A 22,666-nucleotide genomic window follows, 5' to 3' on the forward strand; every position below is an offset into this window, starting at 1 on the left:
TTGCCCTTAAGCAACAAGAACCACCCTCAGGGCTGGAAGCTACAAGTAAAACCCTACCATTTAAAGGTCATTTGAAAACACCACTAAAGCGATGTCTTTCCCGACTATGACTTTTACATCTGTGAAACATAACATTCTGGCTCCCAGGAACCTCCCGCTTTCTCTTCCAAAAGCAACCAAATTTTAAATTCTAGCAAAACTGCTGCCCTCTGCCTCCCTCTTTCCTGACCCAGTCTGTTACCCAGCAATATCCTGTGCTTCTCTCACCAAAAACCCTGTCCTGAGAGACAATTTCATACTATGGAATAAAGATTGGCACCAGGCACTTTTCTCCTATTGTCACCTAAATTGATGATAGACGGATACCACACATGCATTTATATATTGTAGATTGTAGCGGGGATCAAAGCTTTAAGGAGATGTAAAATAATGTAATTCTAGCCCTGAACCAATTGGATTAAAAAAGGATCTGCACTCTTAAATTCGAAAGCAGAAACTTATTGCTTAAAAAACATTCCAGATGAAAGGGTTATTCCTGCATTAGTCTTCTTTGATCTGGAACCGTTCCTTGGCTTTTATATTTATTGAAATGACGTTATTTAAGAGTACAGACCAGGTATTGTGTGGAATATCCTTTAAAGTGAGTTTGTCTGATGTTCCCTTTCAGGTTATGAATTTTTGGAGAAACACCACTAAGTGATGTGTCTTTTCCAGTGCATGTTATCAAGGTAGAGATAACATCGGTTTCTCCCAGTATTGATGATGTTCACTTGGTTAAGGTGGTGTCTGCGAGGTTTCTTCACCATAAAGTTACTATTTTTTCTTTATGATTAAAAATAATGCTGGGGGGAGGTGCTATTGGATTACGTCCCTTTTCTCATCTAATTTTTACCTAGTAGTTTTAGCATCCACTGATGATTTTCTAACTTCATAATTTCATCTGTATGTATTAGTTGGTAATCTCCTAATACATTTATTTCTTGAATCACTAACTCTTCTAAAGCAAAAGAACTTTCTTGAAAAAATTAGAATTGTTCTTGTTCCATCAGTTTCTAATAGTGAATCTTGACTGTGTAGGCTGAAGACAGTAGTACCTGTATTAATCGGCTAGTGCTGTCGTTACAATATACCACAGACCGGATGGCTTAAACGACAGAAATTTCTCACAGTTCTGGAAGTTCAAGATCAAGGTGCCAGCAGATTTGATTTATCCTGTGGACTCTCCCCTTGGCTTGTGGATGACTGTCTTCTCTTGGTGTCCTTCCAGGGTATTTTTCTCTGTGCAATCACACCCTTGGTGTCTCTTCCTGTTATAAGGACACCAGTCCTATTGGACAGCCCCACTCTTGTTTCTCTATAATAACACCCTGTTTTTGTTTCATAAATGTACTCTCTTCTCAAGTATCACTGAGGATAATAGTTTTTAAACCTCTCTTCTGTTCACTAAATTATGTTTCTTCAAGGCTCCATTCTTATGTGTGTTTATCTAGTCTTTCCCCTAGAAAAGAAAAATTCTTCCCCTCTCTGGTGGTTTATTCTTTGTTGTCCTTTTGAGTTCAAGTGTGAAGATCTGAAATGGTTTTTCTAGATAGCTGGAGTGGTTTCTTTCCTCTCGTTTGTGTGTATTGTTTTCCTCCTAGATCCTTGGGCTGATTGTTGAATTTCTTTAGAGGCAAGAACCCAGTGTTATGCCTGCAGGTCATCACCAGGCTACCTTTGCTGGTGGAGGGAAATGATGGATTGTCAGTGCCAGTTAAGGCAACTCCATGACTTTGGTTTTAGCTCCTCACACTGCACCTGCCAGCCCCACATCCAGATAACACCTGGAACAGAGAGTCCCAAACCTCCTGCATTTCTCTCTCAAAGTTATTTTGGGCTGCATGCCTCCATTCACTCCTGCTTCACAGGAATTTGTTTTCACTCCTGTTTGAGATAGTAAAAACCAAACTGTTTTTGCTACTCTTACACGCTCAACACTTCTGACACCAGAGATTCCCCCACACATGAAACAGTTCTCCAGCAGACACCAGCTAAGTGTCCTACAGTTTAACTTAATTCTGATACTACCTCAACTTACAGTCAAATCCCACAAGTTAAGGGTGCATTTCCACAAGACTGTCCCCTACTTTAGGTTGACTGTCACCTATACTTCTGACCACCTATAAATCAGTATTCCCACACCCCCTTCTCGGGTTTGATTAATTTGCTAGGGTGATGGTTAGCCTGTCCAGGGTCCTGATTGCTAGCAGTGAGACTTCATGGTGACACAACGTGGAATCAGGAAACATCCCTTGGCCACTAGATCTGGGAAGTTGACTCAATGTGTGTTTCACCAGATAAGAATATTAAGGTTTTTGCCTTGGGACTGGCTCAGGAAATCAAGCAAGATGGACCTGGGAAGTGTGCTTTGTGAAGTTGGGAGAAATCAGCTGATAGTCTTGTATGGCTGTCTGTTCTCTGCTTTATCCTCAGTGCACTTAGTATATGTCACATAGCTGATGCTCAATAAACATTTGGAAATGAGTGAATTAAATGTAAAGCAAAACCAGAGGATATATGATGGGTCTTACTAATGAGAGTAGAGTCGACTCTTTTCTCCTTCTTCCAGCTGAATTACTCAAAAACTGAATTGCTCAATAACTACTTCCCTTTGCTGTACATGAAAATGTCATGCTTCCAAGCCTGTCAATCCCCTAACCCACTAAAAAATCACTGTTTATTTCCTAGATGGTTAGCCTGGAAGATTTTGTAAAGCTTCATTTTGTCTCTTTTTTCTGTATTTTTAATTTTAAAATTACATAATAATATTGATTATGCTTTCCTCAATTTCATGTACACCCCTCCCAGATATTCCAATATGCCTCCTAGAAAAGCATGCCCTTCTGAGTGGAAATGATACCATTACTCTAATGATGCAATCCATGATCCAAGCATCATTTTTTTGACAGCTACATCATGTTAATCTTGCTTTCAGAAAAGTACTGTGTCATTTCATGTTATTATTAAACTTTCCCTGTATTCTGTACCTTTGCAATTCATTTATTAGATAAAAGAGGAAGATTTTATATCTATCACATTTCATCTGTTACTATTGGCCCATTTTTCTAGCTTATCAAGACCCTTTGGATTTGATGGTGTTACTCATTGCATTTGCTGTCCTTTCCAATAGAAATGTCATCCATAAAGTTGATATATCTATCCATAATACAAAAAGGGAGCAGGAATTTTTTTTGTTGTTTGTTTTCTTGAGATGGAGTCTCACTCTGTCACCCAGGCTGGAGTGCAGTGGCGTGGTGTTGGCTCACTGAAACCTCCACCTCCCTGAGTTCAAGCGATTCTCCTGCCTCAGCCTCCCAAGTAGCTGAATTTTTAAGGTGAGAGTATTTTCTTTATGTACCTCCATACTCTGTCCAGGAATAATTTCTCTGAAATTTGAGTATTAGAGTAAGATGAAGTAATATATTCCACAGCTTCTTTCATTCACTTGGTCTCATGTTCTTAATAACCCTTGATTTTGCATAATTAACATAAAGCAAATTTCCTTTGTAAAGGCTTCTGCTTTTCTAGAGGCAGTGAAAAACTTTATAAAAGCATTGGATGTTCTTATAAAAAGGAAGCTGATAACTACCTCACTAAGTTACATGTCTGGCAGCACTGGAGATAAGGATGTGCTATTGAACTTTCTACTTGTTGTTAAATGGCAAACTATATTGTTTATTTATAACTTAATATATTGTGTTAAGGAATAGGCAGTGGTGCTGCTTATGGAAACTTTGTACTCTTGAGAGTAAATATATAATATAGTTTGGATATTTATCCCCGCCCAAATCTCATGTTGAGTTGTAATACCCAATGTTGGAGGTGGGCCTGGTGGGAGGTGTTTAGATCATGAGGGTGGATCCCTCATGAATGGCTTGGGCCATCCCCTTGGTGATAAGTGAGCTCTCACTCTGAGTTCAAATGAGTTCTGGTTACTTAAAAGTGTTGGCACCTGCCCCCTACTCTCGCTGTCTTGCTCCTGCTTTCACCATGTGACATGCTCGTTTCCCCTTCACCTTCTTCCATGATTATAAGCTTCCCAAGGCCTCCCCAGAAGCCAAGCAGATATCAGCACCATGTTTCCTATAAAGCCTACAGAACTGTGAGCAGATTAAACCTCTTTTCCTTATAAATTACCCAGTCTCAGGTATTTATTTATAGCAATGCAAGAATGATCTAATACAGAAAATTGGTACCAGGAGTGGCGTTTTGTTATAAAGATACCTGAAAATGTGGAACTGACTTTGGAACAAAGTAATGGGTAGAGAAGTTGGAAGAGTTTGGAGGGCTCAGAAGACAGAAAGATGAGGGAAATTTGGAACTTCTTACAGACTGGTTAATAGTTGTGACTAAAAATCTGATAGTGATATGGATAATGAAGTCCAGGCTGCCAAGGTCTTGGATGGTAATGAGGAACTTAGTGGGAACTGGAGCAAAGGTGACACATATTATGCATTAGCAAAGAGCTTGGCTGCATTCTGTCCATGCCCTAGGGATCTGTGGAAGTTTGAACTAAAGAGTGGCAACCCGGGGTATCTGGTGGAAAAAATTTCTAAGCAGCGAAATGTTCAAGATTTGGCCTGGCTGCTTCTAAAAGCATATGCTCAGATGTGGGAGCAAAGAAATGACTTCAAGTTGGAACATATATTAAAAAGGAAAGTAGAGAGTAAAATTTTGGAAAATTTACAGCCATATGTAAATTTTGTGTACATGGAAAATTCTCTGCCATATGGCAGAGAAAGAAAAAGCTTTTTCAGGAGAGGGATTCAAGCAGACTGTGGAGCATCCTCTTGCTAGAGATAGTTGTATAACTAAAAGGGAGTCAAGTGCTAATATCCAAGATAACGGAGAAAAGGCCCCAAAGGCATTTCAGAAAACTTTGCTGAAACCCCTCCCATCACAGGCCCAGAGGCCTAGGAGGAAAGAATGATTTCATGGGCCAGGCCCAGGGCCCTGCTTCCCTGCACAGCCTCAAGACACTGCTCCCCACATCCTGGTCACTCCAGCTCCAGCTGTGTCTCAAAGGGGCCTAGGCACAGCTTGGGCTGCAATTTTGGAGAATGAGAGCTATAAGCCTTGGCAGCTTCCACATGGTTTTAAACCTACAGGCACACAGAGTACAACAGTGGTAGATTCTTGGCAGCCTCTACCTAGATTTCAGAGGCAGTATGGGAAAGCCTGGGTTTCCAGGAAGAAGCCTTCTGCAGGGGCAGAATCCTTGCAGACAACCTCTACTAGGGCAGTGTAGCAGGGAAATGTGGAGTTGGAGGCCCCACACTGAGTTCCCACTGGGGCACTGCTTAGTGGAGCTGTATGAAGAGGGCCACCATTTTACAAGAGAGTGGAGAATACTCAGAGAGATTAAATAACCAGGAGAGCACAGGGTCCTGGGGATAAATGGAGAAAAGGTTCAGCGTGGCCAGGAGAAACAGAAGTTTGAGGCAAATGGGAGGGAAATAGAGAATCAGAGGTTACAGCAAATTTCTCCGTAGTCAAGGCAAGGTCTTTGGAGAAGCTCAGATTGACTTAGGGGCATGGCAAAAGTTAAACATAGGTGAGACTTGGGCCTGGCTTTGGAGTAGGGGAAAAGCAGGTACATCGGTATGTTAGGGAGGTGAGCCATACTACTACTAATTGACATAGAAGCTAGCATTTACTGATTACTTAATATGTTCCAGGTATTGTTCTGAGTCTTTACACATGTACATAATTATTGCAACCCTGTGGGACAGGTAAAATAATCCCCTCATACAAATGAAGAAACTGAGCACCGAGAGATTAAGTAAGCACTTAACTAGTAAAGTTAAAATTCAAACTCAGGCAGCTTGTCTCCAGAATTGATTCTCTGGAAGATTCATATGTATATTAAATTCTTTTCCAAAATGTAAAAATTAAACTTGAAAATTTATGCCCCATAGTGAAAGACAGAGTTTTAATATGTCAAAAATTAATGCAGCATAATTGTGTACAATTCAATAATATTTATTATCCCTAATTGAACATTCACATGAAATTTATACTTCTATATTATCATTAACTTTTGTTGTTGTTGTCGTTTTTGAGACAGGGTCTCAGTCTGTTGCCCAAGCTGGAATAAAGTGGTTCACAGGGTTTCACTGCAGCCTTAACGTACTGGGCTCAAGTGATCCTCCTGCTTCAGCTTCCTGTGTAGCTGGTACCACAGGTCCATGCCACCATGCCCGGCTAATTTTTGTATTTTTGGTACAAATGAGGTCTCACTTTGGGTTGCCCAGGCTGGTCTCGAACTCCTAGGTTCAAGCAATCCTCCTGCCATGGCCTTCCAAAATGCTGGGATTACAGGTATGAGCCACTGTCCCTGGCTATTGTTATTAACTTTGAAAAATGTATGTCACATATGCCATAATCATTTCCAAGTCTTTCAAAGATATTTTTTTAAATTTCAGCTGAAAATATTAGAATGAAATGCACACTCAAGACTAAAGAAGGTATATTCTATGCTCAAGAAAATGTACAAATATTGATTTTTTTTTCTTTTTGTGATGGAGTCTTGCTCTGTCACCCAGGCTGGAGTGCAGTGGTGTGATCTTGGCTCACTGCAACCTCCGCCTCCCAGGTTCAAGCAATTCTCCTGGTTCATCCTCTCAAGTAGCTTGGATTACAGGTGCCTGCCACCACACCCAGCTGATTTTTGTATTTTTAGTAGAGACGGGGTTTCGCCATGTTGGCCAGGCTGGTCTCAAACTCCTGACCTCAGGTGATCCATCCACCTCAGCCTCCCAGAGTGGTGAGATTACAGGCATGAGCCACCATGCCCAACCTACAAATATTGATTCTATCCATGGTTTGGTGAAAACCATAAAAGTACAGCTTATTCTCCATGGCATTGGCAGGGGTCGTGTATAAAGATGACAAAGTCCTGTCTAGCATGCTGCAGAGGGAAAGTGCTGAGTGAACATGCTGAGTTACCCACTTAGCAGTCCCAAGTTAATTGCAATGTGGATGGATGCCATGCATAAGCAGCATGAAATTTTATGAAGACCTGATTTGAGGAAGCCACGAAGGGAGCTATGCTGGTATCCTAAAGTTGAAAAAAAAGTATCAAATTATATACTTCACATATTTGAAACTTTTTCTAGAAATGTTAACCTAGTAACAAAGTACCACATAAAGAAATTTTATAGAATTTACAGTGAACCTGCATATATTTCTTGAAGTAACCTTGCAAAGAATGAATGCAAATGCTTTACAAAGAAATATTTCTGGGCATGGGGAGTTAAGGGAAAATGGGGAAGGACTGCTAGTGGGTACAGGGTTTCTTTTGGGGAGTAATGAAAGTGTCCCAAAATTGGCTGTGCTGATAATGGCCACACAACTCTGTGAATCTACTAAAGACCACTGAATTGTATACTTTAAGGAGGTGAATTGCATGGTATGTAAATTGTATGTATGGAAATGTATGGTATGTAAATTATACCTCAATAAAACTGTTATCGAAAAATTTGAACTTCTTATTCAAGTTCTTACTGCAAATTTAATTTTTCTTAAAGAAACATATGTAAGTGAAATGATCACACTAAGTAAAATATGCTATTTTCATCCTCAATGTTTATAGCTTCCTCTTGGGATTTATTTTCATATACTTCTGTGGAACAGTGTGTGTTTGTCTGTGTGTTGAGGGGAATAGATGGGTCCCCGTTTTCTCTCACTTTCTGTTCATTCATTTGGCAAATATTGATCAAGTCACTGCCACACTGCAGGTATTGTTTTTAGTACTAGGGATATTAAAAAATGAGCAAAACAGGCAAAAAGCCCTGCTCTCATGATGCCCACATTACTGGGTTTTCCTGCCTCAGCCCCACCCCAAGTCATCAAAACACAGACTTATTTCCAAGATACTCACTAATTCAAGTGAGTATAGATTTTTTTCTGTAAGAGATATATCAAGGTATATGCAATATTTTTATTCCTATGCATGTCTACTTTTTACCTCCACTTTAATCTGCTTCCAAATTTCAACAACTTCTTTTATATTGACAAACTAGTATGGACAGTCAACAGAAGTTTTAGAATCTCCTTTGATTCTCCTTGTTTTTCCCATTATTCTTTCATTTGCTTGATGTTCATATTCTGTAGTTGCAAGGGATAGAGGATTTCCCTGTGAACAATGGTATTTACCATAACACAAAATATCTCCCAAATCAGGGGATGGTTTGTATTTATATTAGCAAAATAAGGAGCCACCTCTGTATGTAAATTGTATGTATATAAATGTAAGTTTACATTTTACATACATATTTACATGCATATTTACATACATACAAAAGTTGAATTGTATACTTAAGGAGTATATATAAAAAAGTATATGACTTTTGTATGTGAATATGCATGTAAATATGTATGTATGTAAAATGTAAAAGTTGTATGTATGTAAATATTAGCAAAATATTACAACTTACAAAAAGTTACATACTTACAAAAAGTTGTAAGTATGTAAATATTAGCAAAATAAGAGCTACCTCTCTATGTAAATTGACTATTTTATACTTATGTTTTACTTTTTTAAATTTATGTTTAACATTTATAAAGTGTTAAATCAGTGGTACCTTTAAGGAAAAAAACAATTACACATGAAATTATATCTACATTTATAAAAGAAAATGTAAAACTGGGAAAATACTGTAAACACCAACAGTTTAAAAATTGATGTATCTCGCTATATATTACAGCTTAACGCGGCACTGGATTAAATGGCAATCACTTCTCTCAGTGACTCAGTTTTCTTTTATCTGCAAAGTCCAGGATATACTTGTTCTTTCCACCTTACGGGATTGTCACTGTGGGGATCAAATGGGGTTATATGTTTGCAAGCCACTGAAAACCATGCCCACAAAAAAAAAAAAACCTGTCAATATAAAGTCATGATATTGTTAAAATTGTCTCTTTTCCTCCCTTTTGAAATGTTTGTAAATTTCAATTCAATGTCTAAGAGCTGGTTAGCTTCTAAATCTGATGTGTGGCACATTTACTGGGGTCTCTGTCTGTGGGCCTTCTGTGCAACCCCGTAATACAGTATCTGCTGGTCCTGCGATCACCATTTCTCACCAAGTAATGTAACTCCGTGTATAAAGATATCACTAACAAAAAGTTTATTAAGTGTTGTCTGTAGTTGCAAAAAGTTCAAGAGACCTAAATGTCCACTTAGAGGGGCTTCGTTAAATAAATTAGGCTGCACTTATGCAATGGAATACTCTCCAAAAACTAAATACGATGCACCAGTGTTTTTATTAAGATAAGATATTAATGATGTATTGGTAAGTGGAAAAAACACAACATCAAACAGTAAAAAATATGCATGTAAAATATATGCAAAGATATTCAAAGAAAGGTGTTAAGAATATATGAGAATGCTAGGGTGTTAGAAAAATTAGTCTATTTTCTGATACTTCTGAAAATAGCATTTATCAATTTTATAAATAATATATTTTAAAAAACCATCTAGATTTCCAGCTGATATAATTCTCTGTCTAGTTTGATTACAAAGCCTAAGTGATTAAAGAGCAGAAAAATTAGAAACAGATACCCACTTGCCAGCAGCCACTTTTCCCTTACTTACTCTCTTGTTTTTTGAGACAGAGTCTGGCTCTGTCGCCCAGGCTGGAGTGCAGTGGCGCAATCTCGGGTCACTGCAACCTCCACCTTCTGGGCTCAAGCGATTCTCCTGCCTCAGCCTACTGAGTAGCTGGGATTATAGGCGTGTGCCACTATGCTGGCTAATTTTTGTATTTTTAGTAGAGATGGGGTTTCCCTATGTTGGCCAGGCTGATCTTAAACTCCTGACCTCAAGTGATCCAACTGCCTGGGCCTCCCAAAGTGTTGGGATTACAGGTGTGAGCCCATACTCTCTTTAAGTATCTACTTGCACATAAAATGAGAGGACCGTAAGCACAGATGCCTGCAATATTGAATCAACATCAGATTCTGAGTTGTTGTTTGTAAAGCCCTGATATGAGCTTTACAAAAACAAACTATCAGTCACCATTTCTTCAAAGAATTCCTGCAATTTTCAGCAAGAAGTAGATAAAATAGAGCCAGGTGTCCAAATGTTCTATAGTTTTATTTATGCAGAAATAAACATGGGTATTCAACCCTAGGCGGTGCACTGACGTCACAGAGGGAGCTTTTAAAAAACAGCATGCTGTGGCTCCTCCCCGGGAAATCCTGATTCAATAGGTTTCAGTGGGAACTGGAAGTCTAATGTAAGTAACTCCACAGGTGATTCTGAAGCAGAGCTGATTTTGGTAACTATTAATAGTAATTTAATGCAATGCCCACCAGATGGCACTCATGCTCCGAGAATAGAAAGGCAAGTCGGAAAACTGCTCAATTTGTTAAAGGCTGTGCTTTGTACTCTGCATGTGTCTGCCTTTAAAAGCCTACACCAGGCCGGGCGCAGTGGCTCACGCCTGTAATCCCAGCACTTTGGGAAGCCAAGGTGGGCGGATCACCTGAGGTCAGGAGTTCAAGACCAGCCTGGGCAACATGGCGAAATCCCGTCTCTACTAAAAGTACAAAAATTAGCCGGGCGTGGTGGCAGGCCCCTGTAATCCCAGCTACTCACGAGGCTGAGGCAGGAGAATTGCTTGAACCTGGGAGGCGGAGGTTGCAGTGAGCTGAGGTTGTGCCCCTGCACTCCAGCCTGGGTGACAAGAGCGAGACTCTGTCTCAAAAAAAAAAAAAAAAGTCTACATTAAGTGACTCATTGTCTAAACATAACAAATGGGAATATAAAATGTTTGTTCTACTCACGCCTCTGCAGTATGGTCCATAGGATGGAGAGCTGACGTTGGGCCCATCGTAGAGTGTGAGATAGTTCTGGACACAGTCTCCTGGATCGTCAATGCTGATGAAGTAAAAGTTGACAGTGAGAAGCCTTCCAGCAGGAGCTACCAGTGCCCACTCGCAGTTCGTGTTGTTTGGATAGGTGCCTGGATAGCCAGGGCTGGTGAATGAGCCTCTGTCTCCATAAAGAGTTCCACCACATCCTGCAAGGAAAACAGGACAGGAAGTTTGATTCAACAATGTATAAGCCATCCAGTCTGGCTTGTTAGGCAATAAGACTTCATTTTCTTAAGGTGCTGAGACTCTGCAAGAATAATAGAGGCAGAAACCGCTTTTCCTGTTCCTCTTCTTTGGGCTACACCCTTTCTCCTCACTTCCCCTCTCTTCCCATCGCCACCACCACCTCTTCCATCCTCAACACACATGCCTTTGCCTGCATATCACGATCCAAGGACAACTTCCTCCAGGACTGTACTTTGAAAATCGGGGGTTGACAGCAGAATGGAAAACAATCAAACAAACAAAAACAAAACAAAACAAACAAACAAAAACTTAATAAAGTAACTGTGGGAGAAAATCAAGTTGTTGCCTCTGTGCTTTCGATGGTGCGGAGATCTTTGCTTACCCTGAGTTGATGCCAATGATGTGAGTGAAGTAAAATTAGAAGGAAAATTCAGCACTAAACCAAGAGGAAGTGTGTGATTGTAGGTGGTGGCAGGAATGACTTCATTATAAAAGTAACTTTACCACCCTAATAACTGACATACTTAAGGTCGAATACTTCAAGTTTTGGTGTTAATTTGTTCAATTTGTTAATCTGTATATGAAGGCTGTCATGATTTAGACTACATATAGACTACATATCTGTGGAGATCCAGATCGCCTCCAGGACAGGAAGAAGCTGGCTGTCATAGTTACGGAGCACCTGGCTGGGCCTTTGACCACCGAGGTCTAGTCCCATCTCCACCTCAGTCTAGCAGAGCATTTTGGGCAACTCATTAATCTTGGTGGGTTTTTTTGAGATAGAATCTTGCTCTGTCACGCAGGCTGGAGTGCTGTGGTGTGATCTCAGGTCACTACGGCCTCCATCTCCCAGGTTCAAGTGATTCTCCAGTCTCAGCCTCCCAAGTAGCTGGGATTATAGGCATGCACTACCATGTCCAGTTAATTTTTGTATTTTTAGTGGAGACAGGGTTTCACCATGTGGTCTAGGCTGGTGTGGAACTCCTGACTTCAGGTGATCCAGCTGCCTTGGCCTCCCAGGGATTATAGGCGTGAGACACCACACCCAGCCTAATCTTGGTGTTTTATTTCCTCGTCGATAAAATTTGAGCATTGGAAGTCATCTTTGTCTTCCTTTGGGTGCCAAAATTCCATTACCCACGATTATCTTAATAGAACCATTTTCTTAAGGTATTTAAAGTGATTTCTGTTTATCTTTTTTTATTTGGAATGTATGTTGGTATTTGAGGACATTTCATAAAGGTATTTCTCCTCTCTTGCATTAAATGTATTGACATGACTTAAATTTTCTTTAGCTGTTTGAAAAGTGGCCAACCAAAAATATGAGAGGATACTTACTACCCTAAAAAAGCAATTTCTCTCCAGGACTGCCAACAAATGTCAGGGCCTGTGAGAAGCACAACCATTCATATATATGCCAGAATGTGTTCATAAGTTGGATTTTTGGTAAATATTTTTCCTTAAATTGTCAATGAACTTCCTTGATGGTCAAACCAACAGTCAAAAAGTCTAACAAAATTGAATTTACAAAGGAATTTTTAAATCTTCATACCTTATATGTGCTTCATATATGAATATATATTATTTTATAAACAGAAATAATGAATAAATGTAGAATTTAAAGTAATCTGGCCAGGTGCAGTGGCTCATGCCTGTAATCCCAGCACTTTGGGAGGCCGACACGGGTAGATCACCTGAGGTCAGGAGCTCAAGACCAGCCTGGCCAACATGGCAGAACCCCGTCTCTACTAAAAATACAAAATTAGCTGGGCATGGTGGCATGCAACTGTAATCTCAGCTACTAGGGAGGCTGAGGTGGGAGAATCACTTGAACCCAGGAGGCAGAGGTTGCAGTGAGCTGAGATCGTGCCACTGCACTCCAGCCTGGGCGACAGAGCAAGACTCCATCTCAACAACAACAACAACAAAATAATTTGTACCTTCATTGTTAAAAATCTCTATTCTTAACATGAATTAATCAGTTACACAGGTAGCTAAAAAATATAAGGTTACTTTGCCTTTTTCTATTAGACACCTTATGTTTTACTCACCTACACTGCTTTCCCGTACAAAGTACAAATGTCTTACCAGAGGGTGATGAGGTCCAGATGATTTCATATCCACGATCCGAAATTACACTATTACTCTTAAATCATAGGTATAGTTCATTATTTTGAGAGAAGACAGGGTTTGGCAGCAGAGTACTTGCCAAGTAATGGTGAATTGCTGTTACTTCCATTTCTCACCTTTAGGAAGGAGTCATTCATTATTAAACTTACACTTTCTTCTCCAATGTATATACATTACACTGTGAGACAATTTGAATGATGACACTTTTTGGAAAAGCTTTGTCTTTTTATATACATAAGAATGAAGGGTTTTCTGAAAATACATGCAGAAGTCATCTTCACTTGCAAAGGGGAAAAATGTTCCATGTGTAGATCAAAAAACATTTGTATTTGGATTCAGAAATATCTGTTAACCTGTAGCAATTAAAACATCAGGCTGCTTTTTTATATAATAGTTTTTGCTATGATCCTGCAGCCTTTGCTTTTGGGGAAACATTTGGAAGAATGTAGGTAAAGTGAATTTTTAAAGGGTGGGGATGGGTGGGGGCAATGTTGCCTGCCCTGTTTCCAGTCAACTATTATACATTTTTCATAGTGTGTGTGTGTGTGTGTATGAGTGCGCGCGCACACGGGTTTCCCATTGAAAATTACTTGGCTGTAAAGGGGCTACGAAGAAAATACAATGCAAAGTATAATAAAGTTCAGAACAAAAGGAATTTCTGTATGGGTGAAGGACAGAATTATAAATCTATACAACTTCTGACTGTTGTTAAACGTGTTTTAAAAACACATTCCGAGGCCTTGTTGCTTTTTTGTTTCAACTCCTCATTTTTGAATAGACACATATAAAAACAGGAAATGAGTTGGTGTTTTGAGGGAAGAGAGAACCACACTGTGAATTCAACCATTTTCTGTCCCCCAGCCTGGCTCCTACCCTGCATTCACAACTAGACCTGCTTCCAGGAGGGCTCTCGACGCTTCTAAAGGAAACGTTACACAGGCAATGTATGTTGGAACCAGCCTGACATGTAGAAATGCTGATTTTACTGATCCATGTATTCAAAACACTGGAAGTTCCTCTCTTCCCTTTGTAATTCCATGATTTAAAATTTGGTTAATTGCTGGTATCTTAAGTCACAGAGTTAAGACAGTCTAATCTTGCTGGGCTGTGTTGATCAGGTGAGATTCCTTTTAGGTCTATGTAGTAGCCCATGGGAGAGACTAATGCCTTTCTAGTGCTTCAGGGATTATTCTGCTAAGTGTTTAAATAAAGTAGACTTGCCATGACAGAGTAGCCAGTTATCCACTAGTAGATAGGAGGGCTGCCATATTTAAGACCTTCCAGCACCATACCCTTGAGTTTGGGTGTTTTCACCCAGGGGTCCTCTTTTAAAATGGCGTTGCTCTGAGAGGAGCAGTGAGATACTAATTTTCACGGACACTGCCAACAACTTGTCTTATTCACTTTCGTCTCCTAGGAGGAATGGGGCCACCGAGAGCAGCGGGCATCCCTGCGACATCAGAGGATCCTGGAAGGGGAGGTGAAGGCATGAAAACAATCGCAGATTCCAGGCATGGTCTAGAGCTCGGCCCTCACTTGGTAGTAACACAGAATCCTCAGTCAGACATTTCTGTTCCTACGGCAGTTCACAAGAATGGAATGCTGAGGCTTCCTGGTCCAGCTGCCAATAAACTATGCCCACAGTCTTCCCACCGAGAGCCAGACGGAGCTACATTTTACAGGCCTAAGCTGTGGTTTCCTTTCTTTGCTTATGGGACAGGAAGTTTCAGATCCATTCTACGGAGTAATGAAGGACAGCGAGGAGGAAGAGTTCTTACTGTCCATGGCTGGAAAGCAAGGCTTTGCTTCCCAGCATCTATCAGGCAAATGGCAAATGTTGACTCTGATCAATAATGGTCCATTCAAGCTGGAGTGAGTTAAGAGTTAGTTGCACTGTGACTCCAACCTAACGGGATTATTCCATCTTTCATCCAGATCCCACTCTCCTCATTCTTTCTGCTTTACACTTCATATAAATATATGGATCTCCGTGGTGGGGGAGGTACGTAGGTCCAAGTTGAGTAACCTGACCGGCACAAAGAATACTGTATTTGTCTCTTCGTTTCCTCCCTGCTACATACATCTTTTGGTTTCCTGTCATGGGAATATTCCTTTAGAAAAGGCATGAGCTTCCTCTGAGTGTTATTTATGAAACTACATGTTAAGGCTATTGATTAATAAAGGATTTAGATGAATTCCAAAGGGGAGAGCTTTCCAGGATGATAAAACTGCATCAAGAATCATGTTGAAGCTAAACCCATAGGCAAAGACCATGTGCCAGAACACCCTTCCTCACCAGGCCGGGCAGAAGGTGACAGCAGCCCTAGAAGCCAAATCAGATGAGGTGGGTTGCAGGTGAGAAAAGATGTTTTGTTGGGAACAAAGGCTGCAGCTACCAAGAAACTAGCAGCTGAACAGAAGCCCACTGGAAAGAATCCTCCCACAGAAGGAAAGAAGCCTGCTGCATACACCAGTACATTTGTTTATGCTACAAAGATCAAATCATCTTGGGAAGCTTATTTTGAATGAAGACCTGATCAAAGAGGCAGTGAGAAAAAAAAATAAAACAAAAAATACGACTCCAGATCAGGTGTAGAGGAACAAGCAAACTTTTTGGAAACCTTACTGAAGCCTCTTGTATGGTGAAACAAAGCCAGTTTAGAGAGCATCGGGATGAGGTTTAGATTTAAATTCCACTCTCAGAGGAATTCAGCATCCTTATCCTTTTGAGTCTCAGGTTCCACCTGAGTTTATTTCCTAAGGATGAATGCATTTTCAACAGAGCTTGCAAAGGTCACAACCGCATGAGCTCTGGGGGGTTTTCTGGCAAAACACAGGTGCTGAGTTCCACACACTGGGTCCGCATCAGATGAGTCTTATTCAGACCGTTTCCTGCCTATGAGCAATGATATTCATGTTCCATCTCACATGCTCAATGCAGGTGATGTGGCAGAAAGAGCACAGAGGGAGCTCACCAGGGGCTCTGGAAGACCCCAAAGGTTCAGGCCCACAAGGGGCATGGCTCTGCCTGCTCCAGGTGCAAGGGGGGCTTCTCTCTCAGTGTGTCCTGGGGTGGGAGTTGGGGGTGAATGGGTGGAGAATGGGCAAACAGCAAAGTCACTTCTGTGTCCAAATGAGAGCTCTGGAGTTGTGGTGGAAAAAGGACAGACCACACTTCCTGCAACAAGGGAGCACTTTTTCAAGGCAACACTTGTCTTTAGAGGATGTTGACGATGCCCCAAACTTACTGTAGCTGTCAGGGAAATTAGGTGAGCTATTTAGTATCATTCAGTTTCATTTTACAGAATCAGCTTGTTGTTCTTAGACTTTCCTCTGATCCTTTTAGGTCTCAACTTACATATTGCCCTCTTAAAGAAGCTTTCTAGTTCCCAGACTGAGTTAGGAACCCCTACCCCTGCTGGACTCAGTTAGTCCTTTCCACATTGTGCTGTAATTGGCTATACCCCATCTGTCCTTTCCACCAGACTAGGAGTCTTCCGAGGGCCCTGAGGTTCCCAATTTCCGGTGTTTGGACTGGTGCTCTGTAAATGTTTAGGGAATGAAAGGGTAATGAATAAATTAATGAAACAAGTAAGAATCATAGAGCATTAGAAGCACTAAAGAAAAGGTGTAAAATCCATCATCATTTAAATGATATTCAAATGCATATTACCTCCAAGAAATCGTTTCTGCATTCAATTGAGTTCTCAATGCCAAACAAATGAAAAAAGAGGGTGTGGTTGTGGGGGGCTGTGAGAGTAATGGTGCAATCCATGTCACTGTCGTAGTTATCTGGCCATCCAGTACTCCTCAGGTTGCCAAATGCCTTGTGATAGTCTCTGTTGCAATCTTAGGAGAAAAATATGCATAATTAATGTATGCATTCCAGCGTTCAGTGCTCTTTCAACTTCGCAGGAATAATTCAAAAAGATCATTATATGTGAACAAACTTTAGAAAAAGGTAATCCAGCTTCTTCGTTTACCTTTGAGATAATTGAGACCCTGAGCAGTGAAGTGAATTTCAAGCAGCACACACACATGCAATGCAGCAGCTCATTCACACAAACACCCCTACAGGAAGCATGACACAGGAGCCTTCTCCTTTAAAGACGAATACTCGAGGATCCTTTGAACTTTTCTGATCACATTGAGGTGAAGTGGCTAGCATTCAGACTCTCTTTTAGACAAGGACACTACCTCCAAGACAGAGTTTTGCGCAAGGATTTTAAATCCATTTGTGAGTTATTTGTGGGAAATCGTTCTTTACCTTTTTTTTTGTAAAAAAAATCTAAAGTACTTTTGTTTGTTTAACCAAAGGCAGCTTTCATTTGAATCAATTCAAAATAAATATCAAATAAAGTGTTCTGTGAAAATAAACTTCTCAGTGATAGTAATCAGGTAACTCTTTTAAGGCTTTTTGATTTTTACAAAAATAATTTTCTAAGATTTTCAACCTTGTGAAAATACTAAAAACCTCTGAAATATAAACATTAAATGGGTAAATTGTATGACATGAGGATTATATTTTGATAAAGCTCTTGTAAATATATATATATTTCTCATAAATAAATATGTATATTCAGTGTGGTTAAGTGCGTAAATTAACAAAATAACTGGTATATTTTTAAAATCAACTACATAGACGTTGAAGAAAATGCTAGCATTCTAAGCATCTTGGTTAGTATTGTATTCTCTTTACCTCTTTAGAAACCAACTTTAGTAATTTGCTAAATTGGGCCTGGGTTCTAGTTAAGAGATGGGTGTGGTTTTTGTTAACAAATCTTAATTTACTAACGGGAGTCAATTCTAGAAATAATTGTAATTATTCTAGGAATAATTGTAATGATGGCAGCTTTTCTTAATAAAAGATGAAGTTCTGGGGCTCACCTGCTATCTGATAGGTGAAATTCATTCTAGAATTTCTGTTTAAAACTCCAGATTTGAAAATGACAATTGCAGTACTCATAGAAGAATAAAACACCGGCATAGCCAAAGCATTTCTGCCACAGAACTGAATTCTTGAATTTCCATGACTCTGAAATGAAATGGAAGCCAAGTCATGTTAGATTTATTTTAGAAGAGAACAGCATAACAGAAATTAAACTGCCTATAAAAGTATGGCTTAAATATTTAACCATGGAAACTAGCTCTGTTGTTGGAAGTGCTCTGCAAGAAGACTCACTTTGGCCTTGGAACTGATACAAGTCGCACCTTCCCAGAGGGGAGGGAGGAGGGGAGGCAAAGTTTCTGCTGAAACCACAGACACTTCCCTGCTGAAAACAAGACCCCTCCCCTCTGATGTGACTTCCTAGTCGAGGCCTGTGCCATTGCTCTGAGCACCACTGGGCTGTTTGAGAGTTCACTGGATTTCTCCTCCTGGGGCTTTTGCCAGTCCTGAGCTCCATGAGACTAACAACCATCATTGCCCTGATCCAGCCCTTGCTACCCCTTAGCAAATCTAATCAGAGCCTTTGGTTCCACTGTACATCCCCAAGCCAGCCAGGGCCTGTAATGAGGTGCTGGTTCCCCTTTGTAACACTTGGGCAGCCCTCATTACCTCTCAAAAGCCTGGAGTAAATGCAGTTGAATGCCCATCAGTTCTTGCATAAAAACAAGTTGTACCAAAGTCAGGGTATTTGCAGCCTCCCTGTCACAAGTATGTCTCTAATATCTGCAGTCCTTAGGAACCTACTGAAAGACCCAACCCACCTCTGCTTGCAAACTCCTCTTACTGCTCAGGACTTCCACTCCTCCTCCCAACCGTCTCCTGCTCTTGGTCCTTGTCTAACTTTGCTGTATCCTGTGAACTTTAACTGCACGGTCAATCATTCTCTATATACATCCCCCGCCTTTCCACTTTGTAGCCTTAGCAAAACCTGTTTCTCCACCAGCCTCCTGGTAGAGGCCACTCTTTTCCCATGCTCCACAGTTTATTGAGTAGGAAGGGTGGGGGGTCAGCCTAGGAGGAAGGGAGGGATGCTCCACGTTCCTCACTGCAGCTTCCATCCTTGCCTCAAAGCTGGTTCACCTTTGAGGGTCTCTACGTCTGGTCAAATATATTCTCACCATTGTCATCACTCTCACTTACTTTTCTCCTGGTTACTTCCCAGCATTTATGAAAGACTTGAGGTGTCTCAGCTCATAGTAATCTCCTGCCCCCAATTTCCTTTCTGAACCCTTAGAGGTTTCAGTGTTTATACAGACAAGCCATTAAACACCCTCACTTTATATTTCTTAACACCAGTGACTTCCATCTCTGTGTCTCCGTTCATTCCCAATGCCAGGTAGCTACTGTACATCCTCTATAACAGCCCTACACATCATTCCTTCATGATCTTCCAATTAGACCTTCTCTGTCTATTCTTGGATACCCTGAGAATCCCAGTTTCTCCCAGCTCATCCGTCAATGTTTGTCTTTCCTCCCTACCTACCCAGTCTGAAACCCTTGATTGTTTCCTGTATTCATTCAGTTGAAAACATTATTCAGTCATGACAAACACTGGGTCTTACTCACAGCCACTCCAGCTGCTATTATGTTCCAGCTGGTGCCTAGTGTTCTGTAAGTGGCACGCTGAGTGGTCCACCATGATCCTCATTGTCTTAGCTTCATGAAGCAGGGGGAAAAGGCTTCACCCAAAGGACCTTGTTCCACTTGGCTCTAAGTCCTTCCAGTAAGGGTACCACTGGGTAATAGGGATTTTGTCCTGAAAACCATTACCAACAGAATGATGATAGTCTAGCATCTTGTCCATCTTGAGAGCTTGGGAGCTCATCTCAGCATCTAAGCTTTGCACAAAACTGAGCAAGTCCAGGGCCTATTCAGCTGCCAGCACCTCTCACACCTCTCCACATTGGAGTCAGACAAACGGGACTTTTCTCTCCCCAGCAAGACCAGGTGAGAAGCAGGGGACCCCAGATTTATAATGAAGAGGACCCTGAAAACTCAGAAGACAACAAATGGGACTCTACTATTCCAGCACATGGGGCTTGAACATGACATTCTTGGAATGAACTGGGGAGGGTTAGTTGCTCCCCCGACTGCAGAAAGAGAATCCAGGTATTCTCAAATGTTCTCCCTGGTATCCATCCTCAGTTCACGGCCTCTCCCTTTACATATTTTTCCCTGGATAATCTTATTCTTCTCATTATTTCAATTACTTATCATGATAATGATGATGCACAAAAATCTCTGGGCCTTAGGTCAACATCCCACTTTGTGTCCAACTGTCTCCTCAACATCTTATTCCAGAGGAAATTCAGACTCAGCATTTTGTAAAGCTCAAAATGGCTTTCTTTCTTTCTTTCTTTTTTTTTTTTTGAGATGGAGTCTGGCTCTGTCACCCAGGCTGGAGTGCAGTGGCGCGATTGGGTTCATGCCATTCTCCTGCCTCAGCCTCCCGAGTAGCTGGGACTACAGGCGCCTGCCACCGTGCCCGGCTAATTTTTTTTTTGTATTTTTAGTAGAGACGGGGTTTCATCGCGTTAGCCAGGATGGTCTCAATCTCTTGACCTTATGATCCACCTGCCTCGGCCTCCCAAAGTGCTGGGATTACAGGTGTGAGCCACCGTGCCCAGCCTCTTTGTTTTTGTTTTTGTTGTTGTTGTTGTTGTTGTTGAGACAAAGTCTTGCTCTGTCGCCCAGTCTGGAGTGCAGTGGCGCAATCTTGGCTCACTGCAACGTCTGCATCCCAGGTTCAAGCGATTCTCCTGCCTCAGCCTCCCGAGTAGCTGGGGTTATAGGCACACACCACTGAACCCGGCTAATTTTTTGTATTTTTAGTGGAGATAGGGTTTCGCCACATTGGCCAGGCTGGTCTTGAACTCCTGACCTCAGGTCACCTGCCTCAGCCTCCCAAAGTGCTAGGATTACAGGCATGAGCCACTGCGCCCGGCCCTTTTCTTTTTATCTCTCTTATATTACCATGAATATAGACCTCTGAAACTGGTGCCAAACAGCCTCTTCACTGATTCTCTTGTGTTCTGTATTGACCCTTTCAATTCAGCCTATACATAAATCCTACTAACTATACATATTTCTCCAAGCATGGTCCATGGAGCTCTGGTATTGGCACCAAAACACCAGAGATGTTTGTCAAAAAGTCAGATAAATGGGTGTTATAACTCAGTCTCTGAGGGTGGGCCAGGGAGGATGCACTTTTAAGATGCTTCTTAATGCATTCTTAGGCACACAAAGCTTTGAGAGCTCTGGACCTACAGGACCAAGTTCAAGTTTCTCGACACACCTGATTGGAGGGCTTTGTGTACAGATGAATAACACATTAAGCTGGAAGTAACTTAGAAAATTATTTAATCATGGCCTCATTATTTCAAGTGTTTTGCAAAAGCTAGTGAAAAGATGCGACTGTCATTCATCCTATAATTGTTACCTGTGGTGAGTCCTGAAGCTGTAAGTAATTCTGCATGCAGTCTTATGAGCTCAGCTGTTAACACCCACACAGTTATCTTGACCTGCTGATGTGGAGGGGTGTCAATGACCCAAGTACAGATGGAAAATGGGACATCTGGGTCTGATGAATTGGGTGATGAAATATTTTGTGGGGTCCAAGTTGCATTGTATGTTCCACCACAAGGCACTGGGAAGAAAAAGCAACACAGGAGACAATTTATTCATGTCTCATCTCAGGCAATCTTTAAAATTCTGTCTTCCTCATCTCCCACCCCAGAGGAGCTATATTTTCATCATTCCATTAAGAATTGGGGGTTTATATCCTTGACTAAAAATTGTATCAAATTTTGTACCACAGATTAAACATAGAGTAATTAACATGGTGTTTAGTAATTGACATTGAGTTTAGATAGTAATTGACATTGAGTTTAGTAATTAACATTGAAATTTCAATATAATAAGCAGGGCATTCTTTTCAGTGCCTAAATACATGTGTATTTCATAACATATAAAAATGCTTCTATCTACTCACTGTCCATGATGGTGTATGTAGCATTAAATCCTTCCCTTTCTAATGTTAAGTCACTGATGAATTGAACCATAAGGAAGTTACCAGAAGAGATAAAAGGAGCAGGTACAGTGGAACCACAAAACGTTCCAGCCAAGTTGGCACTTTCACTAACCCCATGGTATAACTGAAAAGAAAAACAATTCATTACTTCTCCATTATTTACAAAAAAGTTGCATCTTTCACACTAAATTGGATGTGAAGTCACAATAGGTCATGATTAAACATTTTTACATGGATGTTCTTAGAGGTGGTCTTAATTTAGGAACAGAATTATAATTGGATTGATGATATTATGACTTTCAGTAAAAACCTGGTATGATGCCTAACATTTTTTTCCTCTTTGGGAAAGTAACCTATGATTTTAAAAAGAATGTGTCATGAGAGTCTGCTCACCCACTGCTACCTTAACCACTGCACCCACTAACACTCTGGCCCTAGTTGCTCTGATCTCTTGC

General features: G+C 40.8%; 1 pseudogene; it reads right to left on the reverse strand.

Moving 5' to 3' along the window:
• Positions 1 to 6,991: 6,991 nt before the first annotated feature.
• CUBNP2 (cubilin pseudogene 2) lies at positions 6,992 to 22,289 on the reverse strand (annotated as a pseudogene).
• Between the last annotated feature and the right edge of the window lie 377 nt (positions 22,290 to 22,666).

Source organism: Homo sapiens, chromosome 10, assembly GCF_000001405.40.
Source record: "Homo sapiens chromosome 10, GRCh38.p14 Primary Assembly".
Lineage (NCBI taxonomy): Eukaryota > Metazoa > Chordata > Mammalia > Primates > Hominidae > Homo > Homo sapiens.